This window comes from Homo sapiens, chromosome 9, assembly GCF_000001405.40.
Source record: "Homo sapiens chromosome 9, GRCh38.p14 Primary Assembly".
Taxonomy (NCBI): domain Eukaryota; kingdom Metazoa; phylum Chordata; class Mammalia; order Primates; family Hominidae; genus Homo; species Homo sapiens.
The window spans coordinates 83377301-83399108 of NC_000009.12; the positions used below are offsets into that span (position 1 = coordinate 83377301).

General features: G+C 40.6%; 1 protein-coding gene across 9 annotated transcripts in view; it reads right to left on the reverse strand.

Moving 5' to 3' along the window:
• FRMD3 (FERM domain containing 3) overlaps positions 1–21808 on the reverse strand; it is a 342803-nt gene that overhangs the window by 134309 nt on the left and 186686 nt on the right. For 8 of the 9 annotated variants that reach the window (NM_001244959.2, XM_024447487.2, XM_047423155.1 and 5 more), the window contains one exon: positions 12304–12408. In NM_001244959.2, the coding sequence (NP_001231888.1) occupies positions 12304–12408 (105 nt within the window). Of the gene's footprint in view, positions 1–12303; positions 12409–14968; positions 14990–21808 lie in introns of those variants that run through there. The other variant, XM_047423153.1, reaches the window with a different exon arrangement.

Here is a 21808-nt window from a genome sequence, read left to right on the forward strand (position 1 = left end):
GAGACTAATGGAAGGATAATAGGAGAGGGAAACACACATTTAGGAGTGTTAACCAAAGAAAACCATGACTTCAGTATTTTCCGTGATGTTTTAACTTTAATTTTTTACATGTACTGGTGCAAGATACAGTTTGGATGTGTGTCCCCAACCAAACCTCATGTTGAACCGTAATCCCCAATGTTGGAGGTGGGGCCTGATGGGGAGTGATTGGATCACAGGAGCAGATTTCTCATTAATGGTTTAGCACCTTCCTCTTGGTGCTGTCCTTGTGATAGTGAGTTCTTGCAAGATCTGGTCATGTAAAAGTGTGTGGCACCTTCCTCCTCTCTCCTGCTCCTGCTCCCACTGTGTGAGATGTCTGCTTGCCCTTTGCTGTCCACCATGACTGTAAGCTCCCTGATGCCTCCCCAGAAGCAGATGCTGGCACCATGGTTCCTGTACAGCCTTCAGAACCATGAGCCAACTAAACCTGTTTTCTTATAAATTACCCAGTCTCAGGTATTTCTTCATAGCAATGCAGGAACAGCCTAACACAGTACATTACACAAATAATTAAAAATCTACTTTTTAAAAAAAGACGGCTAATGTCTACTCAGAGGATGAAAGTAGATTTCATGTAAATTAGCCTGAATGAGTTCATACATGATAGGCAGATATCAAACCCAGCTGAGCACACAGGGTTGACATTGTGGTCAGACCTAGGAGCCAGCAGGCCTAGATTCAAATCCCAGCCCTAACACTGACAAGCTGTGGACTTAGAGCGAGTTCCCTGGTTTCCTCACTTACAGCATCATGGAGAAGTTTAAATGGGTTAATTCATGAAGAAGGCCTTAAAACAGAGCTTGGTGCATCGTGAAGGCTCAATAAGCACTGGCTGTTACCATCTTTAGGCTCCATGAAAGAGACTTCTCACTTGGTACCATGGCAGTTTCCATGAGTCTAACTGTGTCCTTCTTTTTTGTTTTTTTTGTTTTTTTTGAGACAGAGTCTTGCTCTGTCACCCAGGCTGGAGTGCAGTGGCACAATCTCAGCTCACAGCAGCCTTCAGCTCACTGCAGCCTCCACCTCCTGGGTTCAAGCAATTCTCCCGCCTCAGCCTCCAGAGTATCTGGGACTACAGGTGCAAGCCACCATGCCCGGCTAATTTATATATATATATAATATACATATAAAATTTATATATATAATATACATATAAAATTTATATATATAATATACATATAAAATTTATATATATAATATACATATAAAATTTATATATATAAAATATACATATAAAATTTATATATACAATATACATATAAAATTTATATATATTATACATAATTTATATATATAATTTATATATTATATATAATATGTATAATTTATATTATATATATAATTTATATATTATATATAATATGTATACTTTATATTATATATAATATATATACTTTATATTATATATAATATATAATTTATATTATATATAATATATATTATATATGTATAATTTATATATATACTATATATAAATTTTATATAAATATATATACTATATATAAATTTTATATAAATATATATACACTATATATATAAATTTTATATAAATATATATATATTTTAGTACAGATGGGGTTTCACTATGTAGGCCAGGCTGGTCTCAAACTCCTGACCTCAAGTGATCCACCTGCCTCAGCCTCTCAAAGTGCTGTGATTAACTGTGTGAGCCACCACGCCCAGCCTGACTTTGTCCTTCTCTTTCTCCCTGACTCCTCATCTCACTCTCCCTTCTGTTCAACATGAGGAGATTAATTATCTATACAATTGCAATACCAGCTGTTAGCCCTTTGCCTCTCTCCTCATCCCCTTCCTCTCTCTCCTCTCTTTTCTCATTCTTCCAATTAGAGTTATGAGTTGGCCAGTGAAGTGGAGTCTGGACTACACCAATAACTCCTGCTATTATTGGAGGTACAGATGGATTACACTTGAGGGAAAAAATAACCACCATGATGTGGCATGCTTGGTAATTAGATATAAGTCTTAGAACATTTATTGCATTGCTATTTTCCTTTTGATTGCTACTTGGAATATATGCTGTTCTGATATTTTTAAGTCTTTTTCCTTACTGGAAACTGAGTTTCCCTAAGAAAGGCAAAAAGGAGAACCTGGTAACAAAATATCTGAATTTGTGGCTAATTTACTGTAGCTGAAATCTTCTTTTCCTCAACTCTCATTTAGAATAAAATTTCCAAAGGCTATAAGAAAGCTAAGACCCCATCATTGATTCTACAAAATGAACTAGGGGAGTAAGATGAACCAGTGGATTCACCCCTTAGTATGATTTGAAGGTACCAGGAAGGCATCTGCAGCAGATACTGTCAAGCCCCAGCAGCCTGACGCTTTTTAGGAAGGATGCCCTCAGTTTACTGGAGTCCACCACAGGGTAGAGAATTGAAACTTCCTACCCCACCTCACCCTCCACAAACCAGGGTAGCTCTTAACTAATGACTATCAGATGTGGTAGTATAAATACCTCTGCTCCCTCACCCCTTGGATGGCACAACTCTAAGGCATGGCCTACACTGATTCCAGAACTCCCCTATGAGATTGAGCCCAAAATACCCTCTACATGACTTTGCCCAGCATTACACACTTGCTTGGCCTCCTTCGCCTCCCTCCTGTAATCCTCTACTCCCCTACAAGTCTTTTCCTGGAAACACTTCCTAACAAATCACTTATACAGAAATTTTTATCTCAAGGTCTGCTTCTTCAAACCAGACCTAAAACAGCCTCCCTAACTCTCCACTAAAAGCTGTCTTCCATGGTGTTTAAAATCATTTCCCTGGGTATTTATTCCCTTTGCCTTAAGCTTAAACCCTGGAAACCTGCAAAGCCCCTGTGAAAGATCCCAGTTTGCAGAATTGTTGAAATCTACCTGACCACATTTCAAGACTTTTCTTAGAACAAATTTATTTTGGTTGAGAGCAGTTTCAAGAGAAAGAAGATGAGCTACACAAAGGGGGTGAAAAAGCAGAGAGATTCCTAACCCTATGTTTTGGTTTCCTTATCTGTGATCTTGGTGGAGATGGTGGGAGGCCGATTCCAGAACTCCTGAGTTTCCTTGTTCTAACAGTCCACAGTCTATGAACCTGAAGGATGAGGATATTGCCAATGAATGTTTCTTTCTTTTTAATTTTGCGAGGCACAACTGCACTTAGCCCTGAGAGATCATTTTCCTCTACCTTATCATACAAATGGTGCATATCTTTCATATATTCTCATTTTGGCTTGGTTGGGGAAAAAGAAGGTGGGTATGGGGTGGTACTTTGTGACTAAGAAGATTGATTTTTAATTTGGCCACTGCTAAGACAAAAAAAATTGCATCTAAAAGTAAACAATATAGCACTTAGTTATCTTCAAATGTTTGGCTTCTGTTGAAATCGATTCAGTGTATGATTACAGAATAAATTACGCACTTCTCTGTTTACTTTCTCAAAGCCCTTGGTACCCTAAGCCAGAGTAATTTGTAGCCCAGAGAAATATGTTAAATAACCCAGGGGGCTTTTAAAAAGAATGAATGCACTTCCCCAGACAAGAGATTGTTTTTCACCTCAATAGTAACCAGATCCAAAATTTGAGCAATTCCCATGACGACCCTAAAAAGATGGCCTGATTTCTTGCATCCACCTAGACAAAGCCCCAGAGTAACTTAGTCTCTGTGTTATCATGCAGCCAATTTATGTCATTCCTAGCCCCTCTGGCCTCTTCTGGGGAAAAAAGAATGCCATCTGATGAATGTAGCCTTATCAGTGTTCCAGATTATAAGGCTATAGCGAGGCCTAGTTATTTAGCTGCCAATAATCATGGTTTCCATTCCAGTTTCAAGAAGATCTATGACACAACAGCAACAACAACATCAACAAACCTGTAGATCACGAACGCTCAAAAATGTTTTTCCATTTGGAAATCAATCTATGTAAGAAAATCCGCTGGGCACAGTGGTTCATGCCTATAATCCCAGCACTTTCGGAGGCCAAGGTGGGCAGATCACCTGAGGTCAGGAGATCGAGACTGTCCTGGCTAACAGGGTGAAACCCTGTCTCTACTAAAGATACAAAAAATTAGCCGGGTGTGGTGGCACACGCCTGTATTCCCAGCTACTCAGGAGGCTGAGGCAGGAGAATTGCTTGAACCCGGGAGGCAGAGGTTGCAGTGAGCCTAGATCCTGCCACTGCACTCCAGTCTGGGTGGCAGAGTGCAAAAAAAAAAGAAAAGAAAGAAAGAAAAAAGAAAATCTTCATTGTTTCACTGTAGTGTTTTCCACTCCTTTAGCCATGATGTTTTTGTATTCTAGGGTCTCAGGGATGGGCAAAAGAGAGATAACAGCCAGAAGAAGAAACACTGCGCAAATCAGGGGAGGGGCCAGGAAGTCTTTAAAAAAAAGCATTTGTGTCCCTTCATCCATTAAGCAACCTCCATTCCCTTCCCTATTTTGGAAATTTTTATTTTTTGTAAAGGACCAGATAGTAAATATTTTAAGCTTTGTGATCTACATGGATCTCTTTCACAACTACTCAACCCTGCTATTGGAGCATGAAAGCAGCTGCAGACAATATGTAAATGAACAGAATTAGCTGAGTTCCAATAAAACCTTATTTACAAAAACAGTTGGAAAGCCATCCTGACCCTTGCATGCCAGTCCCTACTCCCAAGAAATCTTTAATAGACACTCAAAAAAAAAATGATAGTTTGAAAATGCCATAGGATGTAAAAAAAAAACATGTATTACTATTTATTTTAAAGTACGCTAGTAACTAAAATGCAATCATCTATGAAATGAAATTATGGAATTTTTTTCAAGCTTGTTACAGTGGAATTTACCACCATGTAGCATTTGCTGTCATGCCACATAAATTTAACAACATTGCCACCAAATTGTTCTAAAGTCAAAGATCAGCTAGCCTCTAGATTCATGGGCCTTTTTTAAAATTTCCAACTTTTATTTTAAGTTCAAGGGTACATGTGCAGAATGTGCAGGATTGTTACATAGGTAATCATGTGACTTAGCTCTTTTAAACATCTTTAAAGCATGGAAGAGTAAAAAGACCAGTTACATAAATTGATAGTATGGTTAATTCATTTAAAAAAATTATATTGCATAAGTAGTATTAGTATCCTTATTTAATAGATGAAGAAATTGAGACACAGAGGGTGTAAGGAACCTGCTCAAAGTGGTACAACCAGCAGGTGGCAGAGATAGGATTTGCCCTGGTCTTCATGATGCCAAAGCTTTTAGCACCTGAACAATTTCCTAAAATAGCAAAAGATAGTCATCATTTCCTGACTCAGTCCTTTGATCCTGCCTCCCTGCTTGGAACTGCAGCTCACTCCCTCTTATTGAGTCTATACCTATCCTTGCTCCCAGAATGTTTCTCTCTGCACATTCTTTTCTTTCTGCTCTGTCTGATCTTTGTCCATCTCCTTTGCTGGTTTTGAATCTCTTCCCAGGGCTTTGAAGTCATGAAAGACTTCACTGGCTCCCAAATCCCCATCTGTGGCCCAAACCTCCTCTTTAATCTTCAGACCTATATTGTCATCTATACACTAAACATCTCCACCTCAACTTCTCTCATGCATCCCAACTCAAAACGTTCAGAACTTATCACTTTTCCCCCAAAACCTGTTCTCTTTCCTGTACAACTTATTTGGTAAGTGGCTCCACCTATACTTGGAGCTCTAAGCAGCCGTGTAAGAAGTACAAACACCCTGCTGGAGAGGTCATCTGGAAAGGGCCTGAAACTACATCAGAGGGAGAGGACCCCTGAGCCCTACCTTCCAGCCCTCTGCATCAAGGCACCAGGCATATGGATGAAGATGTCTTGGATCCTCCAGATCGGACTAGCTGCTAGCTAAACACCGCTGAGTGATCCAGTCAACACCATGTGGGGCAGAAGAATCTCCCAGCTGAGCCCTGCTCAAATCCCTGAGCCACAAAATGCTGTGATATAATAAAATTATGTTGTTTTGAGGCACAAACTTTTGGGAAGGCTCATTAAACAGCAATAGATAATGAGAACTACTAGATCCTCATCATTAACCTCCACACATGTAACAGACAACTACTACTGAACCTTGAAGGAAATAAAATAGTCATTTTCTAACCTATACTGTTTTTATTTCTCCAAGTCATACATCATAGCCACATTCTAGTCTTCCCAGTTAGACTTAAAGATATTTTTAAGACTAATTTGAAACTTCCAAACCTGCTGGTCTCTAGTCAGCCCTGCTGTTCTTGCCTGCTGGAAGCCTCCAGTGAGTACTTTACTCTTCAACCACCACATTTAAACCTGTTTCCCTAACTGATTTCTACCCAGGCTGTCCCACCACCAACACAGGAAAAACTTCTTACCTTGGATAGCTTCCTGATTTTTCCTGACTCAAACAAGGATAAAATGGCATTTTCCCAGCCCCTGCCTTCTGGCTCAAATGAGATAACCAGGTCATGTGTTTGCCCCTCCCCTTCCACTATAATGTGCACATCTCCGTTGGCTAAGTGACTTCTAGATGGCAACATTTTATCAAGCATCCATTTCCCTCCTCAGGAGAGGATATCAGATGTAAACAGAGTCAATTATGAGCCATCCTTTTAGTTAAAGACCAAGTACTGCTTTCTGCTGAAGCAATCTGACAATTTCCCCAAATGCATCAGTGTTCATACCTTGAGCCACAATTGAAGCACTGACAATATATTCCATTTTCAAGTTATCACGATAGTACTGTCTTCCTTTTAACCTGAGTGTCAAAGTCCTTTCCCACAAAGCCAAGTTACTTGTACCTGTCTGCCCCTGACACACACACACAGACACCCAAGAAGTCTTGATCTTTAATACCTTTTGAAACGTAAACAAAAGAGGACTCATTGAGCAGACAAATTTGTGATCAGTGACTTGAGGCAGCAGCACAACCCTTTTCTTCAGGGCAGGGCTGCCCTAAATCTTAGGTACCACTCTTGCTCCTAGTGATGAGCAGCTGTGAAGTAATTATCCCGAGAAGCAGGAAGCAGCCTCTCAATGGCAGGAGCAGCTGGTGGGACATAATGCTGTCTGGCTTCCTGGCACCATCCCCAGAGTGAAACCTCCAATCACTGGGCCAGCTTTTATTCCATTCCACGTCCTCCCCAAGGTGCCTCTAGAAAAAGCAAATTGCTCTAACATAGACAAGGTCTTTTCCTGTTATTAATAAAACTTACTGATAGGCTCTCTAGTTCCTTCTGGCTACCAACATAAAAGCCTTGGGGCTGTAATTATATTAGGGTTGTGACGGTGGGGGATCAGGACTGAACATGACCTTGCATCCATGATTTCCAGCTCATCCTCCTATCAGAAAACCTATTAAATCCTCTAGCATCTGGTAGACATTAAGACACAATGGCCTATCATTGGGCACTTGAGGAGTGTACCCCAAAAGTGTGGATTTCCAAAGTAAATCCCGTGTATTTGGGTGTGAGTCAAAATCAGAAAAGTCAACAACACTGATGGAAATGGGTTAAACAGATAATTAGCAATTCCAAAGTTAAAACCAAAAGCATTTAGTACTACCTCCCTCCAGACCATAAAGCAGCATCCTACAACCCAGTCCTAGTGTAATTCTTCCTCTGGCTGAGCTGGGAGCTGGGGCACTCAGCTCTAAGGCATGGGGTGAGGGGAGACTTCCTTAGCTGGATTTGGGGAAATAAAAAGGGTAGAAGAACATAAGGGGAAAACCCAGGACAATGGACATCTAAAACCATAGCTATGGAAACTAGAGCTATGAAATCCAGCTAATTATTTCAAAACTTCATCTTTCCAAAGGGAAGTTACCCAAATACCTGAGCAGAAGTGGTAAAAAGAATATACTGGAGTAAAAAAAAAAAAATCTAAACTTAAGCCAAGTACTACCTTCTTCTAGAATTACTTCTAGACTTATTGTCCCAGTTTTCTCTATCAGTAAAATGGAGAGAATACCACCCACTTTTTCCCTAATCTTAGGCAACTAAGATTATACAAGTTTCTTAGAAGATGAATGTTGTAGAAACTGAGGAGATTTTTTACTGGCCAGTATTCAACCTATCCTTCCCTATATCAAATTAAAAAATAATAATGGAAATGCTGGGCCCTGGACATCAAAATAGCAAAAGATAGTCATCATTTCCTGACTCAGTGTTTCCCATTTCCAGAGCATCTGGGGCATGAGACATCTTGCCAAACATATGGTGTTCCAAATGCAATCGTGCTAAATATTTAATATTCAACAATGGTTTACTGTAAATCGAGTTGTAGGCAAACCACCAGCCCCCAAGGCAAAGGTAACTTTCACTTCAGCTTCTCTAACTCACTTGATTTTCTCATTTAATTAGCTTTCTATCCAAATAATTCATCAGTTTTACTTGCCATTCAGAAAAATACAGGAGCTGGTGAAAAAAAAAAATGTTGGTCAATTAATATCTGTTTAAAATGTCCATACCAGCATGTCTCTGTTTATGTCTTTGAGTCCATTTTTCTAATTATCCAAGGCCCATTTTCCGCCTTCTCTCTCCAATGATCTTAATAGTAGTGCCCCCTGCCTTTAAAAGATGTTCTTATAAACATTTCTAGGTTTTAGAGGTACTAATCATGAGTGTGTTTCCTCATGTCTCACCTGGACCTAGCCAATGCATAATAATTGTAAGAATAATAATAACAACCAAGAGTGAAAATAACACATACCAGATACTCAAGGTGTACCATGTGCTAAGCATTGATATACCTTATCTTTCATTCTCATATCAACCCTACAGGTTGGTATTGTTATTTGCTTTATCCATCAGGACAGAGACTCAGATAGGCTGCATAGCTTGGTCAAGATCACACAGCTTACTAATCAGGAGAGATGGGATTTTTAATTCATATCTTTCTGAGTCCAAAGTCCTTGCAGTTGTGCACAGCAACTACCCTGCAACCCAAGTGAAAGCTACACTCACATCGTATCCTCAAAATCAAAAGGCTATAACAGCTGTATAATGCAGAGAGAAGTATTCAGAAACACCTCTGAGCAATTTAGTGGCTACATGAGATAAGACAGTTTTGTTTTGAGGGTGGCCCCCATCCTTTCCTTTACTCTACTACCCAAGTCTGGGCATTAAAAGTTACGTTAAATAGAGTCAAAATATAAAGAACAATAAACAACCTAAAGACTTCTCTTTTATAACTTTAGTTTAAAATTTTAATAATTTTAGACATATGAAAAAAGTTGCAAAAATGATAAAGTATAACCTTCACTCATCTTCCCCTAATGTTAGCATCCTGTGTAATCACAGTACAACTATCAAAATGAGAAGCCAATATTAGCCAATTTAGTTAATGCTATTCTACCATAGCATTAACTAAACTACAGACTTTCTGTGTTCACCCAGTTTTCCCACTACTATACTTGTCTATGTTTCAGGATCCCACATTGCCTTGAGTTGACGTGTCTCTCCAATCTCTGACTGTGAATCCAGTCTGTCCTTGTCTTTCATGACCTCACACTTTTGAAGGTCAGTTATTTTGGAGAATGTTCCTCACATTGAATTTGCCTGATGTTTTCTCAATATTTGATTAAGGTTATGCATTATTGGGAAGAATGCCACAGAGATGATGTGTACTTCTCAGTGCATGGTATCAGGAGGTACCTGATGTTAACATGTGTTTTTACTGGTGATGTTAATCTTGGTATCTTGGTTAAAGTGCTATCTGTCATGTTTCTCCACTATAGAGTTATTATTTTTCCCTTTGTAATAAAAAAAATGCCTTGGAAAGGAGGGGTTACTTTGCAAATTTCCTGTTTCTCCTTAAACTTTTGCACACTAATTTTAGCTCTTGCCTGCAATAATTATTATTGTGTATGCTGATTTTCTATTTCCGTCATTCCTTCTACATTTATTAATTAAAATTCTTCTGTATGGAAGAGCTGACCCAAGTTTTCCCTTTATTTTTTGTTTAATTAATTATTTAGATTAGGATGGACTCATGGATATTTATTTCATTCTATGGGTTATAATCCAATACTATTGTTATTTTGTGACACCAGTTGTTCCTTAATGTCTTGCCTTATGGAAGCCACTGACCCTCTCTGGGCCTTAGTTTCCCCCTTCCTTAAAGGCTTTTCAGCAAGACGAGGCTATAATGAAGAACACTCATGGTACATGATAGATGCTCAACTAAATAGTAGCTAGAATTACGTCTGCAGGCTGGCCATTTATCATTTAGAATTGAATTTTGCACAAAATAACCTGTTTGCAGTGGTGACTAGAGGACTAATAGAGTCCAGAGTTTATTTGGTCCACAGGGACTTTGATGTATAATCCTAAACTCAAACACTCACTCTACCACTTATTAACTGTGAAACCTGGGACAAGTAACAACTTCTTTGAGCTTCTTTCCCTCTTATACGAGTGGAATATCTTCACAGGCTATAAAAAGTTATGGCTATGAATGTCTTTATATCATGGTCCCCAGACCAAAGCTGGCTTGGCTGCATCAAAATTAGATTAGGAATAGGCTAAGTGCATGTTGCTGGCCCTAACCCCATGGATTCTGATTTAAGAGGTCTGGAATAGGGTTCACACTACGCAAACATCTAAGGTGATTTTCTTGCAGGGCCAGGTCTGGGAACCAGTGTTACTCAGTAAACACCACACACGCCCATCCCTGACGTCATGTCAGCCCCACATCCCCACCACTGCCCTGCCACCTTCGTCTCACTCAGGTAAATGCCTGGACCATCCAAAGGTTACTGGGAGTACTACAGGAAACCAAAATCCTTCTGAGCTGTAATACTTCATTGCATCCCTTCATATAAACTTGGGTCCCTAGGACTCCAAGAGCAAAATAAGATTCTCTATGTATCAGATGCAAATCTAATCTATTCCTTAAATATCCTCTTATTTACAGAAATACACTCTGTGAGCCTCTCCTCATGGTATTGGGTCAGTGAACACTAAACTAAGAGCCAAGTGAGGTGTGGGGGTGGAAAGAGGAGACAGGAAGATCAGGGACATTGAGGAGGAGGAGAGCAAATTAAAGAAGGCAGAGGGGTCCTATCCCCACTTCCAGGCTACCTCCAGGTGACCCCTTCACACACTATCCTGCTAGTAAGAAGCAGAGACCCAAGTGTGTACTGAGCCTCTGAGCATATGGCTGGGAACTCTGAGCCCATGGCTGGGACCCACCCCATGAGCCAGGGGTGGAGATCCCCAGGGGTCATTTGGATGTGAAGGGCACACATCACGTGGTTCTGGCATATGCTACACTGAACACACCTAGGCTGCTATACCAGCTCAAAAGGTAAGACTCCTGCTCACTCTTCCCCACCAACAGATACCAAAAAGGGTAGGTGTCTCCAGGAGCAAGAATAAAACAGGGGCTTTCAAGTTTAGTTGTGCCCAAGGAGCTGCTTCTGAAGTGACTTAAACCTTTCATCTGTCAAAACTTTGTTGAAAAAAACTGAGGTGAAATTCACATAACGAAATTAACCACTTTAAAATGCACATTTTGGTGGCAACCACCATCAATATGAAGTTTCAAACATGTTCATCCCTCGAAAAGAAAACCCTATACCCATTAAGCAGTTATTTCTCAATTACTCTTCCTACCAATAGCTTTTTTTTTTTTTTTTTTTTTGAGACAGGATCTTGCTCTGTAACCCAGGCTGGAGTGTAGTAGCCCCATCACAGATCACTGCAGCCTTGACCTCCCAGGCTCAAGCTATTCTGCCCCACCTCAGCCTCCCAAGTAGCTGTGATGACAGGCACATGCCACCATGCCCAGCTAATTTTTGTATTTTTTGTAGAGGTGGAGTTTTGCCATGTTGCCAGCACTGGTCTTGAACTCCTGGGTTCAAGTGGTCCATTCATCTAGGCCTCCCAAAGTGCTGGGATTACAGATGTGAGCCACAGAGCCCAGCCTCAATAGCTTTTTACAGTGAGTGGGGTTGAGCAGGGGTGATATTCTCCATAGTGAAATTTTATGTAGCCATTGTTTGAGGGACTTTGGGAAACCCTGGGTTCAAAGGGCACAGGGACATTCTCTCTTCTAAGCAGATGGGAGCAGCCTTCTGGAAAGGCCTAGGGTAACTTTTCCCTTCTCTTGCTCCACCCAGTCCAGTGAGGACAATGCCAGCCTCTTCTGCTCACACAGGGTTTCATGTGCCCAATAATCTATGAGAACAAGGGCATCACTAGGGCTTTGAGAGGAACCCCCACAGTGCACCACAGTCTGGGTCACTCCCTGAAAATGGCTCCAGATAGAAATCAGCTCTTACCCTTTGCTTCTCTGGGTCCACATAGCGAATGCCAAAGTAGTCCTTCTCCAGCAGGCTGTAGTAGTTGCAGATGTGGTCAATGAGAAACTGCCCTTTGGTTTCCCTCTGCAAAGGAAGCACATTTAAGTCTCAGCCAGAGCTCACCTTGTGCATTCACGTCCTCAGGGAGCCTTGTTCACCACCATGGGTCTATGTTCTGAAAAATAAATGTGCTCACTCCAGTCCCTGAAGAAGGGGCTTCCAAACTCTTTTAACCACAAATCCTCAATGATAAATACATTTTACATCATGAGCCATTACACACACACAAACACACACACACACACGGAACCAAAAGGACCCCAAAAAGAGCAGTCAAAATAATCCATATGCCATTTAATTTGTCTAATGCTATTTATGACTCAGAGTACTAATTTCACAACACAGTAACTTGTGGAGGTCCACAATTTGGAAACTCTCATGTAACACATACAACGGCCTAACTGCTTTTTCTAATTCCTCGGTACATATTCATTCATCCAGTTCTCACAATGATCCTACCAGGAAGGTTCTCATTTTATATCGGAGGAAACTGAGCCACAAAGAGGTTCAGTGACTTGCCCAAAGTCACACAACTTGAATGGAGCAGGACAGGATTTGAGCCAGGCCAACTGGCTGCAGTATGTGGGCTCCTTCCAAGCCACTTTGACCCCCTGGAGCAATCACGAGTCCACTGCAGCTCTGCCAGGAGGCAGCATCTGGTGAGAGTGGCAATGCTGTGAGTGGTAACTAAATTCCCTGGCTCTCAGCGGGAATGGTAGGGAACCTGCTTCCTTGGTCCTCAGAGCCACTGCATCCCTTCCATAAACCAACACAGAAAGGCAGTGTGGGAGATTCAGGGGAGCCCAGGACTAAGATCCAAAGACAGGCCTGTGTGACCTTGGGTAAACCCCTAGCTGTTTCTACTTCGGTAAAATAAGGTGGTTGGACTAGATTATTTCTAAGTTAGTTAGGTTATTTTTCCTTCTAAAATTCTACAAGTGAAAGATGTAACAGCCAAATCTGATTAACATAAATACCACTACAACAAAAATCTCTTCAGAGCAAAGACCCTTCTAAGCCCTCATCAGGATATCTGATAAGATTAATTTCTGCTTCAATCAAAGTCGCTGACAGACCCATGAAATGTTTTAGAGATGTGACCTATTAAAATATATGAAGAAATTAGAGGCATTAAGTGAGCTACTTTTTCAATCCACTAAAAATAATTTTGAAAGATCAGTTTGGTCTATGTTACATAATGATCTTTTCATTAAAGACCACTACCATTAACTCAGGAAGTTGGATGGGAAAGCCACACCCTCCAGCAAGATCTCCATTGACTACTCAAGACCTTGAGAGAAAAAAATGCTGCTGCAGACAATGCAGTGATTAGACAATGCAAGCGTGGCTGAAACAGGGGTCAATGCCTTCCAAAAAGCCTGGGATGCGCTGCACTGAGTGAAGGACGGGGGTTTATAAGCACATAGTGTGATATGAAACCTCCATTTTCCTGAAATCACTTTTGAGTTTGATTTTGAATAAGCTTCAAGTTTTTAACTTCCTTCCTGAGAAACCATCTGATATAGCTCAAAAGAGACAAAACATAAAAATGGAATTTGTTTTTAAATGTCTGTAATTGTTTTTTAATCCAGGAGTCTCAAATGACAAAGCTATACCTAACAGCTGAATTCAATGCCCAGAAAATAATCATTGGCTTTAGTTCCTTTTACACATATACTCTGTAATCCAATCATCTTTAAAAGGTTGCAGCATTATCCCCTCACCAAACATAACATAGGAGCTCATCATTTTATGATTGAATGGCAAAGCCCTCTTCATTAGGATGTACTATAGGGAAGTATTCCCTACCATATTCCAGATATGTGGGTCAAGGCAGTGCATTGTAATAATATGGGATTGAGCAGGCCTTGATTGTTCATGACAGATACTGCTGTCATTTTGCCCTAAAGAAGATGTACTCAACAGCACAACAAAGATTTTTTTTAAGGATTAAACACAGCAACCAATATACACCCTCCAGCAAGATCTCCATTGACTACTGAAGACCCTTGAGAGAAGAAAATGCTGCTGCAGACAACGCAGTGATTAGAGCAGGCAACCGTGGCTGAAACAGGGGCCAATGCCTTCCAAAAACCAGGTCAGGCCAATTCCCATGGTTCCAGACCACCAGGTGGATTCTAGGTCTTTGCTACTGAAGGTATAGCCTACAGATCAACACTATCACAGAGCAGCAGCCTCAGTCTCACCCAGGAGGGAGCCTGTTGGAGACAGAATCTCAGGCACTGCTCTAGCCCTGCTGCACCTGGTCTGCATTTTGGCAAAATCCCCAGTTAATTCGCATGCACATTGAAGTTTGAGAAGCATTGGTCCAGGAGGATTTCCACAACATGGGAAAAGCACAAAATTTTCCTTTCTCCAGGGACCACCACAAAGAAAAAAAAAAAAGCCCCTTTTCCTTGAGAATTGTCTCTTCCTTAACTCAGAAAAATCAGTCCTTTCCTGCCTTGGGTACACAAGCTGCCTCTGCCATTGTCAGGAGACATCAATAGCCCTTTGCAGTTCTGCCCTGGCCTCTGCACGTTGCCCAGCAAGCCTCACCACCCTGAGACCCTCCATGTCTCACTGCTTGGTGCCAAGGAAGTCAGCTTACAGTCCCACATTCTTCGCCTGGAAATCCGAAGTCTGTAAGCCATTTAAGTTCCCACTGTTGTCATTTTTGTCCCTTAAGCTCAGTTCTTGCACTAAACAAAAGCCTGCATACGCCCAGTACCAAAGGTTGGAAGAGCTGGTTCAGGAGTCAGGTGCATGAGGGGCAGAAGTCCAGCTACTGCCCATATACCTCACATCAGAAGAGAGACTGGGGAGTAAACAGTGGTTATGACCTGAACCTTCCACATGCTTCCTCCTGAACCTCCTGAAGATAGAGGTTCCTTCCCTGCGGCCTAAACCAGTGCCTGGCATGCTGGATGTTACCAGATGAATAAGAAGTCTTTCCTTTTTTCTCATGGAAAACATGAGGTCTGGGAACAGAAGGAAGCACTTTCCACAAGCCCGCACAGCACTAACAGAGAGCCCCGGGCGAGACAATAGCATCCTGGTATTGGCAGTTCCACAAATGTAGTGGAATTGGCCAACTTTCATGCATCTCTCTCAAGGTCTGTGTGCAGAAGTGGTTATCAAAGATTTCAAGTAAAAGGATTTCTTTTTAATGTCAGACTTTTGTTGATTCTCCCACAGGATAGCAGCTCTACGTGCAGTACTGATTGAGCAGAGAAAAAAAAATCAAGCAGCTAATTTAAATTCTTCAGAGCTGTTACCTAAATTATGTTTTATTAATCACAACAGTATTTAATACATGTGAAAAGTAGTAAGATATAAATGCGTGAGCAGGGTCTAATACAAAGATCAGTAGGATTTGATAATCTGTGCTTAAAATCCATATGTGCATAAGTATAGACTTTTGATGCTGTCTCTAAATGAGGTTGTATGGTCTCAGAAATGCACTGACAGGGTTGAAAGAATTTGTTCAACTACACAACTTAACTTGTGTCTCAATACTGGTCCTTATTATCTATAGTACACTGTGACTTGATTCTTTTTATAAATACTGTACTAAAATAATGTGAAGACAATTGCAATATTTTTAATGTGTTAAAATCTATAAGCCAATGCTAGCCAAGATGTGACCCATGGACTATGCCAGAACATGAACAGTGCATGACTGGTCCTCCAAGACAGCAGTCACCATCCTTTTTGGAACCAGGGACCAGTTTCACGGAAGATAATTTTTCCAACGACAGGGTGGTGGGATGGTTTCAGGATGATTCAGGCACCTAACATTTATTGTGCACTTTATTTCTATTATTATTATATTGTAATATATAAGGAAATAATTATACAATTTACCATAATGTAGACGCGGTGGGAGCCCTGAGCTTGTTTTCCTGCAACTAACTGGGGGTGGTGGGAGACAGTGACAGATCATCAGGCATTAGATTCTCATAAGGAGTGTGCAGCCTAGATCTCTCACCTGCACAGCTCACAATAGCTTTGCACTCCCATGAGAATCTAATGCTGCCGCTGATCTGACAGGAGGTGGAGCTCAGGTAGTACTGCGAGGGATGGGGAGCAGCTGTAAATACAGATGAAGCTTCTTGCTTGCCCGCAGCTCACCTACTGCTATGCAGCTCAGTTCTGAGGCCCGGGGATTGGATCCCCTACTCCAAAAAACAAGTGCAGAAATTAAGATCAATTTAATTCTATTGTGTGTGTGTTTTTGATTTTGTTTTTTTTTGTTGTTGTTGTTTTTTTTTACAAATATTGGTCCAAAGTAGACTGGAGGAATAAAAATCTAGTACTTGTGTCTCCCCACAGAGAGTTTGAGAGTTTGAGACTCTCTGATCTAAACTGTGCCACCAGGCTTGGGGGTTCTGTTTGGGATTTCTTTAGTCCACAAGCCCCAAAGTGTAAAAGGGGTTGTGTCCTCTCTCTCACCTTCTCTGCCCATTTTTCAGACAATTTTTAGTGTGCGTTGGATTGCTGAACCCCCTGCAATAATCTCATCTTCCCTCAGGGTGGAAAGTGTTAGTCTCCTGGGTATGGCAGGATACTTGGCATAATTCTGGGCATCTCAAAAGGCAAATTCTCTCCCTGGGCTACAGACTCACTGATATGGCAAACTAGGATCTATTTCAAAAGAATTTGTGTGAAACAATCACATGTCTGATTAGGGATGGCTGGGTAAGAGTGGGCTAACCCTTTTGAGAGAGTGAAAAAAAGTATTTAGTTACTCTGAATCTCTATCTCCTGGTCTGTAAACTCTACATAATGCAGTCTTTAATGGGTAACCTGTGTATTAAAGACAATGTTTGTAAATATCTTGTTGGACACACAGTAGCTGCTCAATAAATGACAGCTATATACTGTTGTTGTTTGTAATATGATGATTTTGTTTCTTCTGATGCCCACAGTACCTTCTCTTCAAAGGCTGCTGAGTGGACCAGAGTCAGTAGTAAGTCCCACCAAACACAGATGTCAGGAGAGCTTATCATTCTCTCACAGAACGGGTTGGATTTACCCCTTTACACCCTATGGAACCTAATTTTTACAATCACAAACTAGCCTACTTGTCAGAAAAGTCCACCTCTCCTCCCCACCCCAAAGTATGTACTAGGAAAACAGAAGATGCCACTGTGTTCTAATCTTGTTTTCACCACTCATCAGCTAAGTGGCCTTAAGAAAGTCACCAAATTCCTCTGAGACTGTTTCTCCTTCCATAATGGGAGAATAATGATGGTAACTTCCAGATGTATCCCCAATTAGATATTCTAAGGCTCATTCATGTATCTATTAAACACCTATTATGCACCAGGCATTGAGATAGGGATTATAAATAAGCAAAGAGTGAAACCTAGAAATTTATCATCTCACAGATCTTAAAATCCTGCCCTTTGTAAAATGTGAATGAATTTTGTAAACTGCAAAGTATTATACCAATGTTAGATGTCATTATTAATAATATTAAGAATAATCTTAATCTTAAATCTTTGTCTCAATTTTACAGATCCTTTTAGATATAAGGAAGTTAAGTGGAATAGTATTTGCCTCCCAGAACTGTCCTCTATAGATTTAAAAAAAAAAAAAAAAGGGAACAAAAAGACAAAGAACTCAATTCTTTTTTTTATTCATTTGAGTTTTATTTTACGTTCATGGGTACATGTGCAGGTTCGTTATACAGGTAAACTTGTGTCATGGGGGTTTGTTGTACAGATTATCTCATCACCCAGGTATTAAGCCTAGTACCCATTAGTAATTTTTTCTGATCCTCTCCCTCCTCCCACTCTCCACCCCCAACAAGTTTCCATGTCTGTTGTTCCCCTCTTTGTGTCCATGTGTTCTCATCATTTAGCTCCCACTTATAAGTGAGAACAGGTGGTATTTGGTTTTCTGTTCCTGCTTTAGTTTGCTAAGGATAACTTTCCTTGATTCTCTGCAGCCAACTGCTGATGATGCATTTACTTCAACTCCCAAGTTCAGCAGTAAAATTAAAACAACAATAAATTTGTGCTTAAAGAAAAAGAGCAAAGAAATCAATTGCCCAAGTCAGCAATAGCTTTTCTTCAATTAAAAAAAAAAAAAAGTCTGGCAGATTTCAGTCCCCAATTCCTAAAACTCCAAGCGAGGTTTTGTTCAGCCTTTTAGACATTGGTTAAGTGGAAAAAACAGTACCAACCCCAAAATACTGAATATATTGCTAAACAAGTTTAGAGTTTGGATAGCTACCTTTAGGGATGAAGGTATGAACATAGTAATAAGAACTACTATTCATTTAACACTTACTGTATATCAAGAACTTTGCTACATATTTTGCATTTGATCTCTTGACAACCCATTGGGGTAGTTAATATTCTCCTCATGTTACAGATGAGGAAAAATGAACTCAGAAATTCTGTGTTTGTTTACAGGGCTGTCAAACCGAGGTCTGACACCTATGCTGAATCTGTTCTAGGAACTCAGTTGGCCTATGTGTCCCCATTCTCTATGTGGAGAGAGAGGAAAACAACAATATGAGGATTTGGAAGCAATGTCAAGTTCTCCAATTACTAGAATTTGGACACTGGCAGGAAGGAGCACTGGGTTACCCACAACAACACCAGGCTGGGAAAAGGCAGTTTTATAAAATACAAAGCACATTATAATAGACTTCATTGGTTAACTGCTTAGCAACCATACATCCCTTTATCTTTCTTAAAGGAACCCAGATTTTCCTCAGGTATGCACATGCGTGTACACACATGCACGCACACACATGGTACAGGCATAAGCCTCAAGGAACTATGACCCAATCGCATCTGAGGGCTCTAGCTTGGTTGGTATGAGGGTAACCCCACCTCTCTTGTCTGATTGGTTCAGGAAAGGACACATGACCCAGCTTAGGCCAATGAGACATGAGGAATACTTTACGAGGGCTTCTGGGATAATTCTTATTTACTCTTCTGAAAGAGCTTCGAGAAGAGACTTGCCCTTCCCTCTGGACCATACACAGAGGTGCAGTGGGATTGAGGATGAAGCCGAAATATTCACAGAGAAATGGAGCCTGTGTCTGCAAACTGTCAATCAGTTAATGTGAATTTCCTTGGAGATGCCCATGAAATTCCTTATTATTTCAGCAAGTACAGATTGGCTTTTCTGTTTGTTGCACCCAACATTTTCACTCCGGAGAGAAGGTAAATCAATGCCTCAGGCCAAGAAGAGCTAAGAGAGAACAGTAATGCTGGTGTGAAACACAGTTGCAGAGATGGCTGACTGATGAGCCCGGGAGCAGTCCATTGACTCTACTCTTTGTTCTGCTGTGTTCTATTCAGTCAGCATAGTGTTAACTGAGCTGATCATGGCTGACTGATGAGCCCAGGAGCAGAGTCCATTGACTGCTGTGTTCTATCAGTCAGCATAGCGTTTTGGTGTTTTTGAATGGGGAGACTGCACATAAAATCTGGATGCTAGCTGCCCTTGAAAAGCTGGAGGGTGTGGAAGCTGGACCGTAAAGGTCTGGTTGGCTTCTCCTTTCCCTGAAAAATGAACTCTGCAGTCCACCACATTTCCGCCTTCCCTGTTGTCTTCCGCTTCTTCCATTTCCCTCAATTCCCTGATCACTGGAGGTATTTGAGTTTACAATCCCTAATCTGAGGCAATAACAGAGGTCTCAGAAAGCGATCCTTGAAAGAGCTTTCCTTGGAAGTACATCCTCAGAGCCAGGAAACATCCTCAGCGGACACAGCTTTGGGCTGCCCTCTAAAGCTGCCCAACAACTGGGGTCCTAGGACACAATGGAGGAAGAAAAACTTAATACAGAACAGAGACATGGGAGAGGCTCGCTGGAATGAGGGAAGCAGGCAAGGGCCAGAGGAGTTGGAAGCACAGCCCCAGGATGGTGGGAACAGTTTGCTCTGGGGTTGGCACTGTTCCTCCAGGACCCCTCTATGATAAACAGAAGTGGGAGCTGTGAGGCCTCATTTCCTAATTATGAGGGTTGTGAGGTTCTTGTTCAAAGGGCTCTGTTGCTTGGCACCTTATGCCTGCAGAAGTTGCTTTTGAGAAGGGACAGCCTTCATAAATGTACATCTGGGAAAGAACAGAATTGTCTCTGGTGATTCTTCTACCTGGAAGGAAGAATCCAATCATCTGAATGCCCAGAAACTCCATGAGGAGCTTCAAACCAATTACAAGGCCCTTAACAGCAACTAAATGCTCAGTTTGCTGCTAGGATTATGTCTTCTAGGGACAGATGGATACATTTCTCTGGTGAATTAAGGGCCTTGATTCATTTACCTTCATAGGCAGATGAATACAGAATAGTAATGAGAAACTGGTGAACTAAATAGTTCTGCTTTTATTGTCAAGGACAAGCATTTATTAATATAAGAAAGATTGTAGCTTGATTGAACAACATAAAAGTGCTCTGTTAATATTCTGCTATAAAAAAACTCAAGCCTATTTGTGTAAATTCACACATTTTGTTATGTTAGGGACCACAGCTTTAACAAAAACTGCATCTCTTTAATAAGAAAACCTTTATTAAACAGCAAGTAATATATTGCTTTGTTAACAGTAACTGGTACTATTACAAACAGTAACTGGCATTCTTCCTATTGCAAACAGTAACTAGTATTAGATATTACGCTGTGATATATATTCAGAAAATTACATCATCCCAAGAATATGAGAGAAATATTAAAGCTATTTAAATGGGAGATAAATGTAAAGAAAAACAAGAATAGAGGAACCTCTCATGGTTGAATCTGTGGTTCTCACACAGAAATTAAAAGTTTCTTTGATTTGTGTTATCCAAATATTTTCAAATGTATGGAAGATAAACCCAAGATTTGGGAAAAATGAAATATGCCTAATGCTAAATGACGAGTTAATGGGTGCAGCACACCAACATGGCACATGTATACATACATAACAAACCTGCACGTTGTGCACATGTACCCTAAAACTTAAAGTATAATAATAATAAAATTTTTAAAAGAAGAAAGAAATATGTAATTCTGAATACATATCTGTTTTAGAGTAATAATTAGTAGCTAAAGCTAAGATAATTGCAAATACAGGCAAATTTTATTAAAGGCGTTTTTGTGCCCAGTAAGTATTCATAAGTTGGTGGAGGATTATGACTATAGTAGTGACCTAAAAAACAGAAAATAACAACAAAAACAATACCAGGGCCAGCTACCCATGAGGGAAACAAAATCAATAGTTGCCTGAAAGTGAGCACTGGATACAAAAACAAAGGCAAGACACAAACAGCCACCTTACCCAGCCAGGCCCAATGGTAGAGAATGAAAACCCAACTGCTTATCTAATGCCCATGGTAGCCCCTACACACTATGAGAAGATAGACATACAGTCAACATCACAGCAAGAGGCTTAATAGTATTAAAGCTAGAGAAGTCAAAAGGGT